Source organism: Homo sapiens, chromosome 5 (genome assembly GCF_000001405.40).
Source record: "Homo sapiens chromosome 5, GRCh38.p14 Primary Assembly".
NCBI lineage: Eukaryota > Metazoa > Chordata > Mammalia > Primates > Hominidae > Homo > Homo sapiens.
The window spans coordinates 142,504,302-142,526,408 of NC_000005.10; the positions used below are offsets into that span (position 1 = coordinate 142,504,302).

General features: G+C 42.6%; 1 annotated feature.

Annotated features, from left to right (window-relative positions):
- Nucleotides 18,809–19,310: an enhancer, noted in NCBI's record as "H3K27ac hESC enhancer chr5:141902675-141903176 (GRCh37/hg19 assembly coordinates)". NCBI's record gives its function as "activates a minimal SCP1, AML or CMV promoter by ChIP-STARR-seq in primed H9 embryonic stem cells {active_cell/tissue: H9 hESC(primed)}" and the evidence as "EXISTENCE:reporter gene assay evidence [ECO:0000049][PMID:30033119]".

Here is a 22,107-nt window from a genome sequence, read left to right on the forward strand (position 1 = left end):
CTGTCCGCTTCCCTACTTTTGAGGTTTTGAGACTCGGACAGGCTTCCTTGCTCCTCAGCTTGCAGACGGCCTATTGTGGGACCTCACCTTGTGATCATGTGAGTCAATACTCCTTAATAAACTCCCCTTTATATATACATCTATCCTATTAGTTCTGTCCCTCTAGAGAGCCCTGACTAATACACATAGCATGGGTGGAAAACAATGGTTAGTTTCCCTCTTCCCCAATTTTGCATAGCTGTGTTCTTCTTACATGCCTGCAAGTGATGAGAGCCCCACTGTGTCCATCTTCTTATGCCTTTAGGGTTTTTTTTCTGTTTTTTGTTTTTGAGATAGAATCACACTCTGCCACCCATGCTGAAGTGCAGTGGCTGAATCTCGGCTCACTTCAACCTCTGCCTCCTGGGTTCAAGCAATTCTCCTGCCTCACCCTCCATAGAAGCTGGGATTACAGGTACATGCCACCACGCCTGGCTAATTTTTGTATTTTTAGTAGAAACAGGGTTTCATCATGTTGGCCAGGCTGGTCTTGAACTCCTGACCTCAGATGATCCACCTGCCTCGGCCTCCCAAAATGCTGGGATTACAGGCATGAGCCACCACGCCTGGCCCGCCTTTAGGTTGTTTTGTAGAAAGTTTCAATGCCAAGACCTACAATAGGTAAGATTTTCTGTAAACCCAAAATTCCCTTTATAAATTGGAGGGAACACATACCGAACCCCTGTCCCATCCCTTGTTTCTGCTGAAAAACTGCATGTTCTTGTTTTACGGGATCTTCCTGGGTGTGTTTCAATAGAACAGATTCAAGAGTCCACCCACTGGTCATTCACTGAAGTTAGAAAGGTTGGTATTGATGACAGATCACAGAGATGACCAACTAAGGCAGTTAAAAAATGATTGCAGAGGCTGGGCGCGGTGGCTCACACCTATAATCCCAGCACTTTGGGAGGCCGAGGTGGGCGGATCACCTGAGGTCCGGAGTTTGAGACCAGCCTGACCAACATGGAGAAACCCCATCTCTACTAAAAATACAAAATTAGCCAGGTATGGTGGCACATGCCTGTAATTCCATCTACTCCGGAGGCTGAGGCAGGAGAATGGCTTGAACCCAGGAGGCGGAGGCTGCTGTGAGCCGAGATCGCGCCATTGCACTCCAGCCTGGGCAACAAGAGCGAAATTCCATCTAAAAAAAAAAAATTGCAGAACTCAAGACCTGTGAAGTCTCTGATTTAGCCTGAGTCACTAAAAATGGCAGCCTCAGTCTTTGGAGGGTTTTCTTATTGTTTGTATCAGCTGCTGAGGATATTCCGAGAAATCACTTTACATCAATCAAGAGAATAGAAAGAGGGTGAAAATGTCTCCCTGAAAAAGGCATTTCTCCAGCCCACCCCACCCTGGCCCAAATATTTGATGACTCTCAGAGCCAAGATAATCTGTTGGTAGATTTCAAGCTAACCTGATGTGGTCCACAGTGAGCAGTATTGAGGTTGAATGATTTCCTGTCTCTTTTTCAATTTTCATCTTCAGCCTTGGCACAAGCACCTGAAAACCCATGGAAACTATTGTACAGTGCTAATGCTTTTCAAAATTTTTGAGTTTTTTGTTTGTTTGTTTTCTTGATCCAACATCCTAATCCTGTAGGCAGGGTCTGGAGGCGGGGGTACAGACACATATTGAATACCACCGTGGGACACAGTTTGAAGACCAGTGTGATAGGTTGCTGTAACCCAAATCCAAATGATCAGAAATATGATAACAGCTGACTGTAGGACCAAAGGGTTCTATCCCAAGGTGAACTTGCTGTACAGCTTGACTGATGGCATGCACAGTTTTTCACCTCATAGAAAATAAGTTGTGTCTTGCCAAGCAGTAGAATTTGTTAATGGTTATCAGACAGAGTTTCCTTCTGGTGCATTCCCCCCTTAAGGTGAGTCAGCGGAGCTGAAACCACATTGTTGGCCTCTCCCAAACCTTCCATGGTGGGGACTGTGTGCTTCCCTTTTCTTTGGAGATCTTTTCCCCTGTTCATCTGTAGAACTAAAATACATGCAAAACTTGCACAAGGAATTTGTTTCATTCTCCTTTGAAAGCTTCTGGTGGTTGAAAAGATGCAGGGAAGGAGGATGTTGAAGGGTCAAGGATGCTGTTGTGGAAAAGAGAAACAGACCATGAACCTGGGAAAGGACAGCGAAGGAATCCTGAACCATGCAATGCTGGAGGAGAGCAGGAGGAAGGGTCCTGCTCTCTTTCCTACTGGGATGTCACAGAAAGATGAAAATCAACTGGGAAACCTCAGGAAGGAGTTCCCCTTCAGAGAAGGAAATTGCTTCTCAGCTCACAGAGGCACTGATAAAATACATCAGTGTCTATTCAAAACACAGCTGAATTTCTAGTCTGCATTGCCTGAAGCCAGATATTGGGGGCAATAGGTGGTCCAGAATGTAATTCAGAGCCACTATGTTTACTTTTACATGGAATGTGTTAATGTGAAGAAAGGATGAGCAAAATCATCTCATGACCATCCAAAAGCTATTGCTGCTTCTCTCTGCCTGTGGTCCCCTTTGAGTGAATCATAATCGTGGCAGGCTCAGGAGAAACCCCTACCCATGAGGGAGAAGTCCCTGGCCGAGTGGTGCATCTCTCCTGCCAGCAGTTAACTTACAATTCAAATGGTTACACCCTTGGCACAGAGTCAAGCAGACTGCCTTCTTATTCACATTGAGTGAGGATGGCTACGCTCTATATGTCACAATCAAATAACTCAATAAGGATGATGGATGGAACAAATAATTATTGACAAACTTAATACATGTGTTTACGTATTCCTCCCAAAAGAAATAGCCTATGAGAATGATAGGTTCTGCTTGTGATCATTAGCGTATAGTTTAATTTCCTCAAATATATTTATCTTAGAAGTTCTACATTTCATAAAAGAAAACCGAACACATCTTTTTATGAACTGATGTGAGCATTTGGAGTTACAGGAACACTTTTACATATGTGAGCGTTTCTTGCTACGGCCATTTTCAGTGTGAGCTGTGTCTTGTGTATCTTTCACAAAGAACACAGTGCCTGAGGTGAAAATTGTAATGGATGGAGGGAGAGAGAAAGAAGGAAGGGAAGTTTCCATCATTAACAAGAGACAGAAGAGTGTTTTTTAGACTCTAGAGGGCATGTGAATCCCCAACAGAGCTACTTCAGAAAGGTAGATTCTCGAGCCCCACTCCCAAGAAATTTTGATTCAGCGATGGATATTGTCAACAAGTTCCCCCGGTTTTTCCGATACAGGTAGCCCGCAGGCCTCACACTGAAAAATGTTGTCATAGGAACTGTGACTATGACTAATCAGTTTTACCCTGTGGAGCATGAAGGTGGGTGTATTAGTCTCTGTCAATGTTTTCCAGAGTTATAGTCGCCTCTCTCTATAGAGAAGGAGAGTTGTTTACAGAATTATGCAGACTGCTGGTGAGGGGACAAACCGATTCACCATTTCTGCTTTCAGCCGGACTCAGAGTTGTAGTTGCTGAAATGTCAGTATCTATTATTCCTCAGGGACCTGATGACTACAGAGCTGACGACTACAGACCTGACATTTTCCTTTTCTCGAGGTTCTTAGCTTTCTTTCAGATTCAAGCCAACCACGCCACATGACTTTCTTGAGGGAACAAGAAAATCTAGTATATCATAAATATTAACTTTTCAGAAGTCTCCACTGCCAGAGCGTGTTAGGCAGCTTATTCAAGGTGCCGATGTTATTGTGCTATCTGCCCCATGCTCAGCTCTTTTCTGTAATTCATATTTCTTCCAAAGTGGACTCTGCCACTGACTGACTGGATTCCTTTCCAGACGTTTCGATCTCCTTCCTGTCTGACATTTCTTGGCTCTCAACCCCCCACATCAAGTTGTATGTGGCCGCTGTCGTACAGCTAGATTAGATGATGTTTACTTTGTTCTGCAGGAGTGTTTGTCAGGGTTTTATGTAAGATTAAAGAAATCTCCGTAAGTTAAGACACCGTGCGCCGGGCTGCCTTCCATGCACTGGCCTTTGGCAGTCGCAAAAGATCTTTTACCCTGTACCATCTTTGGCTGCTTGACCGAAGCAAATGCCTATTGCTTTTGGCTTTTTTATGTTTGTTGCTGTTAGAGAACTCAGCAGAAACCTCCAGATAAACGCTTTAGTTGTCCAGGTAGGAAACCAAAGTGGACCCTGGGCAGTTTTATTTGGAGACCTCTTCTGCTTTTGTGATTGTGTGTGTGCTGGTGGTACTGGAATACAGGTCTCTGGGTTGGAGAGCTTGTGTTCCGGATGCTGGCAATTTGATGTGAATGTGCTAGGGGAAGTCTGTATAGATTATCTTATTGGAAAGGCCAGATGGCAGCAAGCTCTAGAGTTCTAAGTCCCACTTTGCTCAAAGGTGCCTGAGGAATAGCAGCCTACTGACAGCTTGAAGTATGGTGCACTGGATAATTGGCTTCCTCATTTAGTAATTTGTCTGCTTTCTTTCCTCTTCCTCTGCTTCCTCTCTTCTTGTAAACTGATAGCCTCCTGCCTCTTCAATAGACTGATAAAGAGTCCCTGAGCAGCAGCTAAAGGGAGGGGGTGGCCAGAGCCCCAGGTGGAGAGAGTCATTTGGAAAACTGACACAGAAAATTACCATCCTTCTTTTCTGCTTTTCCTCTGCTTCGGTATCTCGATTTTAGTCTCTCCCTTTCATTTTCCTGTTATCTTCCATCACTGTCCCTTGCCACTTCATCTTATATATATATTTTTCTTTTATGGAAAAGAAAATTTCTTTGCTATTTTGTCTCTTTCTTTCTACTTTTTTCATCTTTCCCTTTTTTTTCTTTTATCCCCCTCATTCTGTTCCCTTTGCCTTCTTTGCTTTTGCAATTGTTCTAGTTAAAACTTAATTCAAAACAGGAAATTGCATCACATTTATTCAGGTTAAATTACCTTTTCCTTTTTTCATGTTTTTCTCTCCAAGGAAGAAAAAAAAATTGAAAAGCACATTTCCGGCTCCTTCTGGCACCTCCATCCCCTCAAATGTGTTTATCTTTAGGTGTTGGAAGTCTCAGGACACAACATTTCTGCTTCATTGAAAGTGCAGATGCACCCTCAGAGCTTTTACCCTTGGACCTGGAGAATGACGTCTGCTTTCACTTAATAAGTCATTTTGTTCTCCAGGTGGAATTCAGATTATTCCGTGGCAAATTTAGGAGAAGACCTGCCCCTGGTGCTGGAAGAGTTGGGTCAGATGCCTTAGCCTGTTTGCAGTCTGGAGGGTTGACATTGAAGTTCACCAGCTCCTCAAAATGCCCCCAGATGTTGAGCCATCCTGACAACAGAGGTAGAAGAAGGTCTCTGCCTCTGCCTTGTGGTAGACCAGTTGACTCCCCGGTCACCTACTGTTCCTTCTACCATCATAAGGCAGCCTGAGTGAACACCACTGACAAGGGACCTTGTTCAGAGGTAGGGGGACAGCTGCTGCATTCCACTACTCATCCCCATTTTTTTTTCTTATAGTTTACAGAGGCTGCCTGGGCCAGTGGCTCCCATTTTGTTTTAGAGAGCAGAGAATGGACCCTGGAGTCAGGATACTCCAGTTCAAATCCCACCTCTACCAACTGTGCTGTGACCTTAGGCAAATCACTCTGCCTCTCTGAACCTCAGTTCCCACCTGAGCTTCATGAGGAACTTTTGGCTGTTTTGTTCATAGCTGTATCCCCAGCATCTATCATACCTGACACATAGGAGGTGTTCAATTAAATACATTCCAGGGATGAATGTAGTGGTTAAGAACAAGGACTTCATGCCAGATTGCCTGAGTTCAAATTCCAGCTTGCCACTTACTAAGTATGTGAACGCGGGCAAGTCACTTCATCTGCTGGGCTCAATTTCTTCATCTGGGAAGACATAAACGATTGGCATTGATGTCCGAAGCCTACCGTAACAGATTACCACTGACTTGGTAGCTTAAAACAATAGGAATGTATTCTCTCAGTGGCGAAGGGCAGAAGTCCAAAATCAAGGTGTTAACAGAGCCATGCCCGCTCTGAAGGCTCTAGGGGAGAATCCCCTCTTGCCTCTTCTAGCTTCTGGTGGCACCAGGTGGTCATTGGCTGTGGCAGCATCACTCCAGCCTCTGCCTAGTTCTTCACTTGGCCTTTTCTTCTTCTCTGTGTCTTCTCCTCTTCCATCTCCTATAAAGACATTTGTCACTGGGTTTAGGACATGCCCCAATAATCCAAGTTAATTTCATCTTGAGATCTTAACTTAATTATACCCACAGATATCCTTTTTCCAAATAAAGTCCCATCTACGAGTTCTAGGGGTTAGGATGTGGTCATGTCTTTTTAGGGACCACCATTCAACCCACTACAGGGTTGCCGTGTTGATCAGTTGAGCTAATATATATCAAATGCTTAGTTAGGACAGTGCCTTGCATGCAGTAAGAGCAAATTAAGTGCTTTTTAAATTTTATCTTCAATTTTTTAATTTTTTTTTTTTTAAGAGATAGGGTTTTGCAATGTTGTCTAGGCTGGACTCAAACTTCTGGGCTCAAGGGATCCTCCTGCCTCAGTCTCCTGAGTAGCTGGGACTATAGGTGTGAGCCACTGCACCTAGATTAGTGCTTTTTCAGATCTTACAATAATCCTATAATAAAAGCTGAGACAGAAGTTGTAAATTACTACAGTGTCTGGCACATGGTAAGTGCTCAGGGGATGTTAGTTATTAATTTAACAATTTTGGACCAAAGGCCTACTGTGTGTCAGGTATTCTGTTCTAAGTGCCAGGAATGCAGTAATAATAAATAATAAGTAATTAATAATAATAAAGGACAAAGAACACCAAAAAGGCTTTCCCCTTGCCTGTGCTTACATTCCAGTGTTTTTGTGAATACAATTCTCACCAGCCCCACCATCATCATAAATGCCAGCCTTGTAATACCAAGCTACCCAAACAAGATGCTGAAGAATGAGTTTCCTATGTGGAAGGGGTCAATGAAGACAGCCCATAGTCAAACCAAATTTCTGCTTGTGGTTTCAAAAGGATGAAAGATCCATTTTAGCTTTAGTAAAACAGGGTTCAAAGGTCTGGAGTTTGGTTTACTAGGGAGTTTTTTTGTTTTGTTTTGTTTTGTTTTGTTTCCAATTTGTTGAGATTTGGTAGACAAGCAAGGGGCATCAGTCTTGTCTGAAAGTTCTGTCAGCTCATGGTCTGGAGGTGGTGCCCAGGCTGCTGGTGGGGAAGGGCCCAGTGGAGGCAGGGCTGTTGGGGATGAGGCTGAGAGGCCTATGGGCAGAGGGCCACAGGGTGCATTAACCTCAGAGAGCAGCAATGCTGGTCCCTGTTGCTGTGACAACAGCAGACCGCGCCAGGAGACCCAGAGGATGAATTAAATGGAAGGAAATTGCTGGTGCCCTCAGAAGAAAAAAGAAATTAAAGCAAGCTTCTCAGGAATCTGTGGATGTTGCTGTGACCTCCACTCGTGTTGAACATGTCAGCAAGGAACATTCTTGGCGATGGGGTTGGGAGGACCTGCCTTGCCCACAGGATGTCCTTCGGAAAAAGAAGATTGATTGCACAAATCACAGACGCTAACTTTCCCTGGCTGGCCCTGGAACAAGAAACCCCCCTCCACAGTGAGTGCCAGGCTGTGCTCAGCAATGGCAGGATGGCCCATTTTATCTTCCAGCTTATCCCACATCTGTTGAGTTTGCCCCGATGGGACATGGTGACCTGGAAACTCACACAGAGCTCAGTTTCGGGATGGATCGTATAGAAAATAAACACATGGGATAAATACAGCACAGGGCAGGAAGAAATGGTTTTAAAGTTACCAGGAGAACTGCGGGTGAGGTCAGGTTCAGAAATGGGACTGATTTCGGAGGCCCTTAGTACTGACATCACTCAAATTGCTCAACAGAGACCTCCAAGTGGAGCAGTGGCTTTTGGAGTTTGCCCAGCTCTATGTGTGCTACCAGGCAGAAGTGCTCTGACCTAGTTTTCTTTCTTTCTTTTTTTTTTTAAAGAAAATTTTACTGCTTGTTGTGAGGCCTCCAACAGGGCACTGAACTCGAGTAGATTTTTTTTTTTCTTACTATTTTACATGTCAGGTTCCACATCTCTCTCACAGAGACGTGCCGGCCTCCAAATGGGCTGCCTGGCGACAGGACCAAAGTGAGAGCCTGGGCATGGCGTCAGCCTCTGTCCTTTTGCTCCCTCAGCTCAGGCTGCATCCCAAGGCACTGGGATTCTGTGTTTAGGGCTCTGCCCTGCTGAGAAAGAGAGAAAATGGCCTTTTGAGGGATTGAACCAGAGGGCAGCCTGCAATACAACCTCCTGGTAATTGAATCGTGAGTCCTCAAGCCCTCGCTGCAAATACGCCAGCAGCTCTCCTTTGCATTTAGAATAGCATCCAGACTCTTCATCATGGTCTCTGAGGCCCTGCCTGACCTGGTTCCTGCCTACTTCCCCGCCCTCGCCCTCCAGCACTTTGCCTTCCTCCTGCCTTTCCAGCCACAGGCATGCTCTTTCTGTTCTTCAAGTTCCCCAGGCTCATTTCCTCCCCAGGATCTTTGCACGTGGTCCTGACCTCTGCTTGGACAGCTCTGACCCCAGATTCCCATGTGTTGACTCCTCATCTGATTTGCACTCAGACATCACTTTCTCAAACAAACCTAGGCCACCACCTTGTGCAAAATGGCCCTGCCGCCCATGGGTCACTACTGGTCACAGCCCTGTGCTTGCTTTCCTTCTTGGCATTTATTGCTATCTGAGGTCATCTTATTCAGTTATTTGTTTACTCCTTTGTCGTAGCCCCCCATCCTACCCCCCAGTGTAAGCTCCGTGAAAACAATGAGTCTGTAATTCTTGTTCAACATTCTTATCCCAATCTCTAAAACAGTGCCTGGCTTATGGTGGGTACTTAATAAATATTTGTTAAGTGAATGACTGCTTACCAAGAGAGTGACCTTTCCAAAATCTTGCCAGGAGAAGAAGGATTGAAAATCCTCAAGGAATGAGTTTCCCTTGGCCCAATAAGCCCGATTTTAAAGGATACAGGCTGTCTCCACAGAGATGCTCTTGCCCAAAGTCTCAGTTAATTGAATCTGATAATCACTGTTTGGGGTTGGAGTGTACCTGTTAGGACAGTTTCTGCTACAAGAAACAGAAAACCCGATTAAAACTCACTTAAATAGTTAGGACATTCACTAGATCACTTAACAGGAAATCCTAGGGTAGGGCTCTTCCAGGGTCAGTGAATTCAGTGGCTAATGATAGTATCAAGGATTCGAGTTCTTTCGATCTGTCCATTCTGCCATTCTCTATCTATAGCTGTTTCTCTTAGGTTTGTCCTCTCATGTCACAGGATGACTGCATTAACCAAGGGTATCATCTCAATAGTCAAAAAGACCAGAAGAGGGAATGAGCCTCTTTTCCTTTTTAAGAGCAAAATGAGTTTCTTAGCAGACTTTCCTTCCTGTCCCCTTGGCCAGAGTTGTAACACATACTTATTCCTAAAACACTCACTGGCAAGCGGAATCCTCCTCTATTTGGCTTTGACTAATAACAGTTCATCTCCTGGGATGAGAGAGGGGCCTAACTTCCCCCAACACACCTAGCCTCCAGATACATGCGTCAGTTGGAAGCTGTTAGGTTGACATCTACAAGCTCTACTATAAAATGAAAGGCCTTCTGACTATAGCGCTTTTTAGAGCACAGATCACCCTGTTAGCAGGTGATGGACTTGGAGAAATCCTTAGACACCCAATTAAGTAAACTTTAAGGCCACATTAACAAAAGCAGAGTGTCATAGGAAAGTGGAGAAAATGGGATAAAAATAGAAGTAAAAGGGGAAAGAGGAAGTATGAAGTATTCATGGTCCGTGATGATAGAACTTCATCTAAAAGAATTAAGTGTCGCATAGCTTCTTTGTTCATTGACCTCAGTTGTCCTCTATTTATTGGGGCTGTGTTGTTAAGTTTAAACAATGCTCACTGAACATCTACTTCATACTAGATTCTGGTCCAGAATTTTGTTTTCCCAAGCAGCGTTTCACTCAATCATGTCTGTTATTCATTCTCAAAAATTTCTAGAAAAGGAGATGCTGTCATTAACCTTATAGCCCTTAGTCTGTGACTTCAAGGAAGACTTTTTGCCTCGGAAATACCTAAGAGAAGAGTAAACCCTTTGGGTCTCTGCATACAATTTCTCTGGAGACCAATCTTTGACAGCCTATGGCCTGACCAAATGTATTTTCTCAGGATATCACAAGGGATACTTTAGTTTTCAGTATTTAACACTAATGAGATATTCTCATCTCTTTGTTTTCTTTGGTGCTATTTTCATGGCAGATTTATTAAGAAAAAGTACAACCACATTATCTCCTGGCTGCTGAAAACATTTGGTATCAATATAGCATTCTACCTTTGTTATGATCGGTATCTCCATTCCTCTATGAGTAAATACTACTACTCATATTTTGCTTTAACCAAATCCTATAGGAGTTAGTCCTCATAAAAATATTTTTATTCCTGCTTCCCACCATCTTTCTTTGAAAAGACTGGTGACCTAAACTATTCCCCCTCTTTCCATGCATCACAGTGAGAAGCAGCTCACTGTGCACTGGTATCAACTTGCCTCAGTCTGGTGAGACAGAACACCCGTACATACAATGAGTTACACAGAGTGGGTTTATTACTTTTGGATAGGCAGCAAGGGACAGCAGAAGCCTAGGATTCAGGGTGAGACAGTCCCCCAAGGCTCAGGAAAACTGTCCGGGGCAGTTGGGGTCTCAACTGCACATGCCCCACTTGGATAATAGCTGAGGGACCCCAGAAAACAGCTCACCCTGGTTTCATACACAGAGGTCACATGATTCACTGGTATAAAGCATTGAAGGACATCCTGTTTCTAAGTGGGGACTGGAACAGAGCCTGGCTGTTCTAGCCAGCTCACTCTTATCTCAGAATGTTGAATTCTCAGCCCATCCTACAGTTATTCATGAGAACTACAAGTGAGAAAAGGGAGAGAACCGGGTCAGTCCAAGGACACCTGGAAAACTGTCCTACACCCAGGACTGTAATGGACTATGTCAGTCTTACCTAATAACAACTTTGTTATTTTTTTTTATTTTTGTTCATTTTTGTTTTTATTGTTTAATTATTAAATACTTCAGCCTACACAAACAATACAACAGACATCCATTTACTCATCACTCACATTAACAACTGTGTTAACATTTTGTCATATTCACTTCAGATCTTTATTTATTTATTTATTTATTTTATTATTATTACACTTTAAGTTTTAGGGTACATGTGCACAATGTGCAGGTTTGTTACATATGTATACATGCGCCATGTTGGTGTGCTGCACCCATCAACTAGTCATTTAGCATTAGGTATATCTCCTAATGCTATCCCTCCCCCCTCCCCCTACCCCACAACAGTCCCCAGAGTGTGATGTTCCACTTCCTGTGTCCATGTGTTCTCATTGTTCAATTACCACCTATGAGTGAGAACGTGCAGTGTTTGGTTTTTTGTCCTTGCAGCACTATTCACAATAGCGAAGACTTGGAACCAATCCAAATGTCCAACAACGATAGACTGGATTAAGAAAATGTGGCACATATACACCATGGAATACTATGCAGCCATAAAAAAATGAAGAGTTCATGTCCTTTGTAGGGACATGGATGAAACTGGAAATCCTCTTTCTCAGATCTTTATTTTTTAAGGCAAGAAACATTATAGCTAAAGTCCTTTCCTCCATCCCCAGAATAAACCGTTAACTGAAAGTTGATGTGTGATATGATTTGGATCTACGTCCCCACCCAAATTTTATGTGGAACTGTAATCCCCACATGTTGAAGGTGGGACCTGGTGGGAGGTGATTGGATCATGGGGGTGGATTTCCCCCTTGCTGTTCTCGTGATAGTGAGTTCTCATGAGATCTGATGGTTTAAAAGTGTGTGGTACTTCCCCCACCTTCCTCCTCTGCCATGGAAAGATGTGCTTACTTCCCCTTCACCTTCTGCCATGAATGCAAGTTTCCTGAGGCCTCCTAACCAGGCTTTCTGTTAAGCCTACAAAACTGTGAGTCAATTAAACCTCTTTTCTTCATAAATTACCCAGTCATAGGTAGTTCTTTATAGCAGTGTGAGAACAGACCAACACAGAAAATTGGTACCGGGAAAGTGGGACATTGCTATAAAGATACCTGAAAATGTGGAAGTGACTTTGGAACTGGGTAATGGGCAGAGGTTGGAACAGTTTGGAGGGCTCAGAAGAAGACAGGAAGATGTGGGAAAGTTTGGAACTTCCTAGAGACTTGTTGAATGGTTTTGACCAAAATGCTGATAGTGATATGGACAATGATGTCCAGGCTGAGGTGGTCTCAGATGGAAATGAGGAGCTTGTTTGGAACTGCAATAAAGGTCACTCTTGCTATGCTTTAGCAAAGAGACCGGTGGCATTTTGCCCCTGCCCTAGAGATCTGTGGAACTTTGAACGTGAGAGAGATAGTTTAGGGTATCTGGCAGAAGAAATTTCTAAGCAGCAAAGCATTCCAGAAGTGTCCTGGCTGCTCCTAACAGTGTACAGTCATATGTGTTCACAAAGAGTTGATCTGAAATTGGAACTTAGATTTAAAAAAGAAACAGAGCAGAAAAGTTTGGAAAATTTGCAGCCTGGCCATGTGGTAGAAAAGCAAATCCCATTTTCTGGGGAGAAATTCAAGGCTGCCGTAGAAATTTGCATAAGTAAAGAGGACCCAAATGTTAATAGCCAAGATAATAGAGGAAATGTCTCCAGGGCATGTCAGAGACTTTCACAGCAGCCCCTCTTATCACAGGCCCAGAGGCCTAGGAGGGAAAAGTGGTTTCATGGGCCAGGCCCAGGGCCCAGCTGCTCTGTGCAGCCTTGAGACATGGCACCCTGCATCCCAGTCACTCCAGCTCCAGCTATGGCTAAAAGGGGCCAAGGTATGGCTCAGGCTAAGGCATCAGAGGCTACAGGCCCCAAGCCTTGGCAGCTTCCATGTGGTGGTGGGCCTGCCAGTGTGCAGAAGGCAAGAGTTGAGATTTGGGGACCTCCACCTAGATTTCAGAGGATGTATGGAAAGGCCTGGATGTCCAAGCAGAAGTGTGCTACAGGGCAGATCCCTCTGGAGAACCTCTACTAGAGCAATGTGGAGGAGAGGAAATGTGGGGTTAGGGTACCCACACAGAGTCCCCACTGGGGCACTGCCTATAGGAGCTGTGAGAGGAGGGCCATCGTCCTCCAGATCCCAGAGTGGTAGATCTACCCACAGATTGCTCCGTGCACCTGGAAAAGCTGCAGGCACTCAATGCCAGCCTATGAAAGCAGCTTGAGGGGCTGTACCCTGCAGAGCCACAGGTGGAGAGCTGCCCAAGGCCTTGGGAACCCATCCTTTGCATCAGTGTGGCTTGAATGTGAGACATGGAGTCAAAGGAGATCATTTTGGAGCTTTAAGAGTTAATGACTGCCCTGCTGGGTTTCAGACTTGCATGGGGCCTGTAGCCCTTTTGTTTTGGCCAATTTCTCCCTTTTGGAATAGGAGCATTTACCCCATGCCTGTACCCCTATTATATCTTGGAAGTAACTAACTAGTTTTTCATTTTACAGGCTAGTAGGGGGAAGGGAATTACTTTGTCTCAGATAGACTTTGGACTTGGACTTTTGGGTTAATGCTGGAATGAGTTAAAACTTTGGGGGACTGTTAGGAAGACATAATTGTGTTTTGAAATGTGAGAAGGGCATGAGCTAAGAGGAGCCAGGGTGGAATGATATGGTTTGGCTTCCTGTTAAGCCTTTCAAACTATGAGCCAATTAAACCTCTTTTCTTCATAAATTACCGAGTCTCAGGTATTTCTTTATAGCAGTGTGGGAACAGACTAATACAATGTGCATAATTTGCATCCATGCTTTGTACTGTTTATTACATGTGATTGTTCACATAATAATATATAATACTATTTGTATTTTAACCAATTTACTTAAATGATATTGTTCTGTATATATGCTTTTGAAACATGCTTTTCTTTGGACATTATGTTTTGTAGACTTATCCATGTTAATTCAATATACTTATTTCATTTTAACTGCTGTAAGTAATTAGCTATATGAATATAGCACAGTTTGTCTATTTACTACTCTATTGATGGATATGTTGGCCTTTTACAATTTTTTTATAATTATAAACATTGGCAAAATGAACATATTTACATACATTCCTTGTGCACATAGATGAAATTTTCTTCATTATGTATCTAGAAGTTGATGGGTCATGGAATATGTGCATTTTAAAATTAACTAGAGGTTAAGAAATGGCTCTGTAAACTCATTAAATGAATTAACAATATCATTAGCAATGTAGAAGCACTACCATTTCTTAACCTTCTTGCAAACTGTTAACATTATTAGATTTTAAATCTGATCTAATATATGTGAAGATAGTATCTAACTTTTAAAATTTGCATTTGCTGGTTTGCTGGATTGTTAGTGAGACTGAGCATCTTTTCATTTGTTTATTGGACATTTGGGTTTTCTTCTTAGTGAATTGCCAGCTTTTATATCCTTTGTCCAAGTCTGTAGTATTAGGTTATATATTTCCTGATTTGTAGGAGTTCTTTAGTAAGTATGGATGGCAATTATCTATCAGAGTTGTGTGTTTCAAATATCTTCTTCCAGTTATTTGCATTTCTTTTATATTTTGAGTCATTTATTGTAAAGACTTCTAAAATTTTCATGTAGCTGAATTAATCATTTGTTTATACTTTGTGGGGTTTTTTTGTTTTGTTTTTTGTTTTTTGAGATGGAGTCTTACTCTGTTGCCCAGGCTGGAGTGCAGTGGCACAGTCTCAGCTCACTGCAACCTCTGCCTCCCAGGTTCAAGCAATTCTCCTGCTTCAGCCTCCCGAGTAGCTGGGACTACAGGTGCATGCCACCATGCCTGGCTAATTTTTTATATTTTAGCAGAGACTGGGTTTCACCACGTTGCCCAGGCTGGTCCCAAACTTCTGAGCTCAGACAATCTGCCCGCCTCAGCCTCCCAAAGTGCGGGGATTACAGGCCCATCGTATACTATGTGTTTTTTGTAGCTTGTGGTCCTTCTCTACCACAATATGAAAAATTCTTTTTTTTTCTTCTAAAGATAAAGGATTGCTGATTTTTAACAGGCAGATTTTTCATTCATCTAGAGTTGAATTTTGTGTATGGTATGAGGTGGGAATCAAGTTTTTATTTTTCCTCATGGATAGCCAGTGGTCCTGGCCTCGTGTTTTGAACAATTTCACCTTTACTATGTATCTTTAATAGGTGTTGTGCGGTAACCTTGGCCTATCTGAAAATATGGATGAAGGAAATGTATTTGTTTTATTCCAGGAGGCTTGACACTATAGTGTTAGTGATTTTCCAACTCCCAGGCACTTAAAAATTACTAGAGGAGCATGTTGAACATGCAGATTCCCAGGACCCACCACAGGTCACTCAGTCTGAACTTACCGGGTGGGGAGTCCAAGCACCTGTATTTTTAAAAATTTCACTAGGTTTGGGGGAACAGGTGGTGTTTAGTTACATGGATAAGTACTCCCACCCTTCCCCTTGAGTGTCCAAAGTTCATTGTATCCTTCTTATGCCTTTGTGTCCTCATAGCTTAGCTCCCACTTATAAGTGAGAACATACAATGTTTGGTTTTCTATTCCTGAATTACTTCACTTAGAATAATGGTCTCCATCTCCATCCAGGTTGCTGCAAATGCCATTATTCCATTCTTTTTTATGGCTGAGTAGTATTCCATGGGGTGTGTGTGTGTGTGTGTGTGTGTGTACCACATTTTGTCCACTAGTCGATTGATGGGCATTTGGACTGGTTCCATATTTTTGCAATTGCAAATTATCAAGCATCTGTATTTTTAACATACATGAGTTTGGTGCAAATCACCTATAAATTACACTGAGAAACCTTCCTCTTAACAGCAGAAAATACTTTTCCCTTCTCCATATTTTACATCTTCCAGGAGACACAGCTTAAAATATTATGCTCTTTCTCTCTCTCTTTTTTTTTTTTTTTTTGGAGATGGAGTCTCGCTCTGTTGCCAGACTGGAGTGCAGTGGCACCATCTTGGCTTATTGCAACCTCTGGCTCCCGGGTTCAAGCAATTCTCCTGCCTCAGCCTCCTGAGTAGCTGGGACTACAGGCACATGCCACCACACCGGCTAATTTTTGTATTTTTAGTAGAGACGGGGTTTCACCATGTTGGCCAGGATGGTCTCAATCTCATGACCTCATGATCCACCTGCCTCGGACTCCCAAAGTGCTAGGATTGTATGTGTGAGCCACCACGCCTGGCCGTGCTCTCTTTTACACGCACGTTCTTATAGTCATATGCGAAAGGATAACCCCTAACTCACTCCTTTAATGAGAATAGGAAGAATCTCAATCCTAAATTTTCTGTGATTGCTGTGGACCCTTTAATTCTCCTAAGCCAGATAATATTAATTAGGCCGGTAAAAAATGAACAACAGGGAGTCCAGAGAGCCACAGTACATATGCCAGTGTTCTGCTCAATTTGACCATCCATCAGGAATATTTCATGCTGTTATCCCCTCTCTGTACAACTTTGCTGTTTCATGCCTAATCTGTGCTCTTCATTCTGGTTGGAGACCTCAAAGAAGTTTTACAACTTGGAAGAAGACCATGTAAACAATAATAATTCACCCATAAGCACTTACCCTTGGTAGTGGTTTTCATTCCAGCAGGAATGAGCCACAGGGGCCGGCCTGTGTGGCCGATGATCTAAGCCCTTTCCTGGGATACCTAAACTCCTCTTTACCATGGGGCCAGGCAGCCTTTTGTGTTTCAAAAGCAGGAAGATTGAGTTTCTCATACTTGCATGTATGTGTGTGTAAGGGGCAATGTGGATGAGTTGCTGATGGTCACAAAGGTTTGTCTGCTCATTGTGAATGTTAAAGAACCCCGAAAAGGGATGTTTCTTAATGCAAGAGCACATTTGCTCCATTTCCTGGCACAGGGTTTAAAACTAGATAAAAACTCAAAAGCCTCACCTGGAATATTTATTTTTTGACTTGTAAGAGAGGGCCTATTTTCTCTTTTTCACTTTGAAGTATATGATTAGTTTGATACTGCGATGGTTCTGACTGTCAAGAGAGCACGTCAAATATATGCAAATCATTACAAAACATCTATTCTCCTTGTTGCTTTATTTTCAGGCAAATTTCAGACCCCAAAATGAGAACAATGGAATAATGCCTCTCAGTATAATTTCTAGAAACCAAAGATTATCACTCTCAGAGCTCTTCCTTTGACTTGAGATGGGAAATCTGATCCTTTCCGTTGATGAGGATTGTCCTGTCTTTTAATAGGTTTCAGGGGAGATTAAATTTCCATTTTTTGTCTTTGTTTTGAGTATTACTAGCTCAGATAAGCAAGGCAGAGGGGCAGAGAGTGACTCGTGTGCACAAATATGACCCGTTGTTGGGAAACCGGTAGGAAATCCTAGGAAAAGGGTAATCTTTCTAACAGGTGCATTTCTCTTTGACTTATCTGAGTCTCTCTTGGGAAATGCTTTGCTGTGTGTTTGCCTGGTGTCGACAACACTGAGTCCACCTCCCTAGCCACAGATAAAATAGAGTTGTTCATTATTAACCTCTCAGACTTTGCACGGACACCTGCTTATGCAATTTAGCGATCCTTGGTGGCTGGAAACCCTTGGAGGTGCGGACTGTCTTCACATCTGCCAGGCAAACTGAGTGCCTGGCTTGGGTCACCTGTATTCATAGTTTTCCAATGCTGAGGTAGATTTTAAAGTGGTTACAGTATATATTACCTACAGTTATATGTACTGAGCAGTCATTGAGTACAAGATTGGAAAGTCAGATATGGTATTAATGAAGTCTAGAAGACAGGCAAATATTTGGCTGGGATCTGTATTTATTATCTATCGCATTAAAAAGAAGCAGAACCAAGACTTAAAACTTAGGTATGTGTGATACTAAAGTCTGTATTCTTATCATTAAACTATATTGTTCCCCTTGGGATTCTAGGAAAGTCCTGTATAATTCATAATCAAAAGGACTGACTGACCATATCACCAAGAGAAAATACCCTTATTTTTATATATGTAGCTTTTGCTACATATATAAAAGATTAAAAATATACATGGGATGTTAAATGTAGAATCACTGAAATCAGTGACCATAAGTGCCTGTTCATAATCAGATAACAGTGGGATTTTGTTCTCATTGATAACTACATAATCTGTTTTTATCTGTTTTAAAAATAGCAAAATATAATTAGCTGGGTGTGGTAGCAGGTGCCTGTAGTCCCAGCTACTCGGGAGGCTGAGGCGGGAGAATGGCGTGAATCTGGGAGGCGGAGCTTGCAGTGAGCCGAGATCGTGTCACTGCACTCCAGCCTGGGCAACAGAGTGAGACTCCGTCTCAAAAAAAAAAAAAAAAAAAGCAAAATATATCCTTTCCCCCTCTTTGGGAACATACGAAGTAAGAAAAGGAAAGCCAAGAATAGGCAGGCTGCATTTGGATACAGTTATGTTCATACAGTCAAGACATAGTGGATTTTCCTTATTAGTATATAAACATGTTCTTGTAACTCCAACATTAAGCAAAGAAAACTTTCCTTGACCTAGATCCTCCTTCAGCCACTGCCCCTTTCTTTCCCCATTCACAGTGTAACTTCCATAAATACTCTCCATGGTCACCATCTTGACTCCCCACTGCCTTTCGTTTTCTCCTCAACCCACTCCATGTGGGCTTTTGACCCTCATTCACCCCTCACACACTGCCAAATCTGTTGTTTATTTGTTTGTTTGAGATAAGGTCTGTCTGTCACCCAGGCTGCTGTGCAGTGGTGCAATCACGGCTCACTGCAACTTCTGCCTCCTGGGCTCAAATGATCCTCCCACCTCAGCTTCCCGAGAAGTTGGAACCACAGGTGTGTGCCACCACTGCTGGTGAATTTTTTTTTTTTTTTTTTTTTGAGTCTCGCTCTCGCCCAAGCTGTAGTACAGTGGCGCCATCTCCGCTCACTGCAAGCTCCACCTCCTGGGTTCACGCCATTCTCCAGCCTCAGCCTCCCGAGTAGCTGGGACTACAGGCACCCGCTACCATGCCCGGCTAATTTTTTTGTATTTTTAGTAGAGACGGGGTTTCACCATGTTAGCCAGGATGGTCTCGATCTCCCGACCTCGTGATCCGCCTGCCTCGGCCTCCCAAAATGCTGGGATTACAGGCGTGAGCCACCGCGCCCGGCCTGCTGGTGAATTTTTGTATTTTTTTGTAGCGATGGGATTTTACCATGTTGCCCACACTGGTCTCAAAGTCCTGAGCTCAAGTCATCTGCCCGCCTCGGCCTCCCAAAGTGCTGGGATTACAGGCATGAGCCACCACGCCCAACCCCACACTGCTAAATCTAAAGGTTATTCTATATCTCATTTTTCTCAAATTCACAGCAGCATTCAGTTGACTTATCATTTCTTATTAAAGCATTTTTTTTTTTTTCTTGGAGGCTTTTCTCCTATCTTACTTGAAACTTCTACATTTTCTTTTGCTTTTTTTTCTTTTATTCAACTTTCAAATTTTGGCAAGTCCAAGAGCTTGTTCCTGAGACCACTTTTTTTCATCTTCACTTCCCTCAAGTAAGCTCATCTAATCCCATTTTGTTGTATACCACATATAAGCTAAAGCTCCCAATCTATACCTTTCACTCCAACCTCTGCTTTGAACTTCAGAGTCAAATATCTGGCCACGTACTTGCCATTTCTTCTTAAATATCTAATAGGAACCCTAAACTTAATATGTCTTATTACAGCCTACTGTCAACTTGCTTCTTCCTAAATTTTCTCCATTTCATTAAAAGACACCATTATCCACCTAAGTGCTCAGGAGTCATCCTAGGAGTCATCCCTAGGAGTCATCCTAGAGTTGTTCCTTCAGTCACTACATCTAATCCTTTAGCAGATACTGTTGACTTTACCTTTACATTTGAATCTGTCCACTTCTCTTCCTTCCTCCTGTTCCTACCGTAGTACAAGCTACCACCAACTTTCTTCTGGACTATTGCAATGGCCTCATCATTGGTTTCCGTGTTTCTCCCATTGATCCCTGCTACAATACATTCTCCCACATAGCAGCCAAAATTATCTCTTTAAAAAGTAAATAGGCCGGGCATGGTGGCTCATGCCTGTAATCCCAGCACTTTGGGAGGCCAGGGCAGGTGGATCACCCGAGGTCAGGAGTTCGAGACCAGCCTGGCCAACATGGTGAAACCCTGTCTCTACTAAAAATAATAATAATAAATAGAAGATCAAGAGAGATATGACAAAATGGTTCAGTCCATTACCGAGTAATTATAAATATTCATGCTCCTGATAATAGAACTTCGAAATATATGAAGCAAAAATAGAATTAAAGGGAGAAATAGACATAGCCAGATTTATTATTAGAAAACTTAACATTACTCTCTCAGCAACTGACAGAACTAGACAAAAATAGAAATAAAACCACATAAGATATGAATAACATCATCAACCATTTTGATGTAATTGATATTTATGCAACTGCAGAATGCACATTTTTCAAGTGCATATGGTACATTCATTAAGATAAATGGTATCTAAGCCAGAAAATAAATCTCAATAAATATATGAGGACTAAAGTTATACAGACTTTATTTTCTAACTACGGTGGAATCGAATAAGAAATTGGAAACATATCTAGAAAAACTCCAAGTATTGGGCCAGACGCGGTGGCTCACGCCTGTAATCCCAGCACTTTGGGAGGCTGAGGCGGGCAGATTACGAGGTCAGGAGATTGAGACCATCCTGGTTAACACAGTGAAACCCCGTCTCTACTAAAAAATAGGAAAAATTAGCTGGGCGTGGGGGGCGGGCGCCTGTAGTCACAGCTACTCAGGAGGCTGAGGCAGGAGAATGGCGTGAACCCGGGAGGCGGAGCTTGCAGTGAGCCGAGATCCCGCCACTGCACTCCAGCCTGGGCGACAGTGAGACTCCGTCTCAAAAAAAAAAATAACAATAATAATAATAAAGAAAAACTCTAAGTATTTGAAAAACAACACGTTTCTTATTGGCTTCTTCTATTCATCTGGGGCTCAGTGAAGCTTTCCATGACCACCAAGGTAAGGGAAAGTTGCCGGTGAAGTCCCGCTGTATCACTCTGCTGTACTTTGTTGTTGTACTATTCACAGATATTTTTTCTTTAGCCATTGTTTTAATGGTTTTCCCACTAACATGTGAGTTCTGAGGGGTAGGGACCTTGCCTTTATTATTCACTGCTAAAATGGTAGCTGAAACACAGTAAATGCTCAATAGCATTTCATTGAATGAATGAAGAGTGAATATGAATCCTCCACATTCCATCATAAGCTCATCTGGATGGTGATAATGAGAATGATGATAAGATCACTACCATAAAAATAATACTCTGCTGGTGTTGTTATTGCTCAGGCACTTTAAGTGCCTTATCTCATTTAGTCCTCACAATTGCCTGTGCAGTAGATCCTTCTGTTATCCCCGTTTTACAGAGGGAGAAGCTAAGATACAAGGAGGTGAAGTAGCCGATGCCATTTGGGTAGTAAAGAGTGAGCCAGGATTCAAATTCAGGTTGTCTAATTCCAGAACACTTGTTTTGAGTAACCGGTAGTGAATTCATGATGGGAGAAAGGAGGCTGGTGGTTATATATGCGTATTTGTAAGTGAGCCAGCATAAGCTCTGTCTAGTCTTAGAATCAAGGCTCTGGTCCTCTCTCTTGAAGCCACAACTGACTTTTAACTAAAAATATGGAAGAATCTCCTCAGTGTTAAGGTCAGTATTTTGTTTCTGTGGCATCAGTCCTGATAATGGCAGCATTTTAAACCAGTGGAGAAAGGATAGATTAGTCAATAAATGGTGTTGACAAACTAATATTTGGAAAAATAAAATTAGATTTTTACTTTACGTAATAAATATAAACAAATTCTAAAAGAATTAAGGATTTAAATTTGAAACATGAAACCATACACAAATATATTAGGAAAGAATATAG